We start from the raw sequence: 1,706 nt of genomic DNA on the forward strand, positions 1-1,706 counted from the left end.
AACTTTTCATCTTGTCCATGATTGCACACCCTCACATTTCTTCTCTCTCCCTGATTTCTAGTATCATCTTACTTTCTCTCAAACTTACCTATATTCAATAATTTGTCATTTTTGAGACAAAATGTAATGCCTAGATTGTAAAATATAATGTCCGGTTTCTTGAGTTTTGATAAGTTTATAAACTTGTGCAACTCCAACTCCAACTGAAATAGAGATCATTGTGCTCCCCAAAACTTCCTTTGGGTCACTTCCTAGCCAGTTTACTACAATCAAGTGAGTAACCACTATTCTAATACATAAATTAGTTATGCCTGTTCTTAGCTTTCATATAAATAGAATCAAATAGTATGTACTCTCTTGTGTTTGGATTCTTTCACTAAATACAATATTTTTAAGATTTAATTTTGGGGGAATTGTCAGTAGTTCATTCATATTCATTTCTGAGTAGTATTCCATTTGGTGACTATGTCACAATTTATTCATTGACCTCTTGATGGACATTTGGTTGGTTCTAGTTTTAGCAATTATGATTAAAACTGTTATCAATATTTTCATGTGTGTCTGTGTGAAGAGACCACCAAACAGGCTTTGTGTGAGCAACATGGCTGTTTATTTCACCTGGGTGCAGGTGGGCTGAGTCTGAAAAGAGAGTCAGCGAAGGGAGATAAGGGTGGGGCCATTTTATAGGATTTGGGTAGATAAAGGAAAATTACAGTCAAAGGGGGGTTGTTCTCTGGCAGGGAGAGTGGGGGTCACAAGGTGCTCAGTAGGGGAGCTTTTGAGCCAGGATGAACCAGGAGAAGGAATTTCACAAGACAATGTCATCAGTGAAGGCAGGAACAGGCCATTATCACTTCTTTTGTGGTGGAATGTCATCAGTTAAGGCAGGAACCGGCCATCTGGATGTGTACCTGCAGGTCACAGGGGATATGATGGCTTAGCTTGGGCTCAGAGGCCTGACAAATATTATTGTATAAGTTTTGTGTAAATATTTATATTTACTTTTTGGGCTAAATATCTAGTTGTAGAATTGCTGTATCATAGGGTATATTTGTATTTAATACCATGAGAAAATTCCAATCAGTTCTCTAAAGCAGTTATACCACTTTGCGTTCATACCATTAAAGAATGAGAGATCCAGTTTCTCTACAAATTTGCCAACTTAAATATTCCCATTCTTTTTTTTTTTTGAATCTTAGCAATCCTACTGGGTGTAAAGCGATGTTTTATTGTGATCATAATCTGTTTTTTCCTGGATATTCATGTTGTAAAGCACCATTTTTGTGTGTTTATTGGCTATTCTAGCACACGATTTCTTTTGTGAAATAACTGTTAAAGTTCTTTGCATATTTTTTGTCAGTTGAATATCTTTTTACTATTGACTTGCAATTTTTAATATTTTTCTAAATATAAATTATCTTTCTGATATATGTTTTGCAAATATTTTTCCTCATTTGCAGATCGACTACATTCTTAATGTTACTTTTGTTCAAAAAATTTTTTGAATGAATTAAAAATTGCGAATCTTTTTTCTTTTATAATTAAAAAATATAAATATATATATATAATATATATTTATAAATAAATTAAAGGTTGCTGCCCAGGCATTAGAAGTAGAGCAGCACTCCTGAATGGCTCAAGCTGGTGGCCAGAGGTATAGGAGCATCTCTCCCACTTAGCAGACTGGGTCCCCTGCTTTCCTGTGG

The 1,706-nt window shown here is 34.9% G+C and overlaps 1 annotated feature.

Moving 5' to 3' along the window:
• Window positions 442-1,149: an enhancer, noted in NCBI's record as "OCT4-NANOG hESC enhancer chr3:173070760-173071467 (GRCh37/hg19 assembly coordinates)". NCBI's record gives its function as "activates a minimal SCP1, AML or CMV promoter by ChIP-STARR-seq in naive H9 embryonic stem cells {active_cell/tissue: H9 hESC(naive)}" and the evidence as "EXISTENCE:reporter gene assay evidence [ECO:0000049][PMID:30033119]".

The sequence above is a fragment of the Homo sapiens genome, chromosome 3 (genome assembly GCF_000001405.40).
Source record: "Homo sapiens chromosome 3, GRCh38.p14 Primary Assembly".
Lineage (NCBI taxonomy): Eukaryota > Metazoa > Chordata > Mammalia > Primates > Hominidae > Homo > Homo sapiens.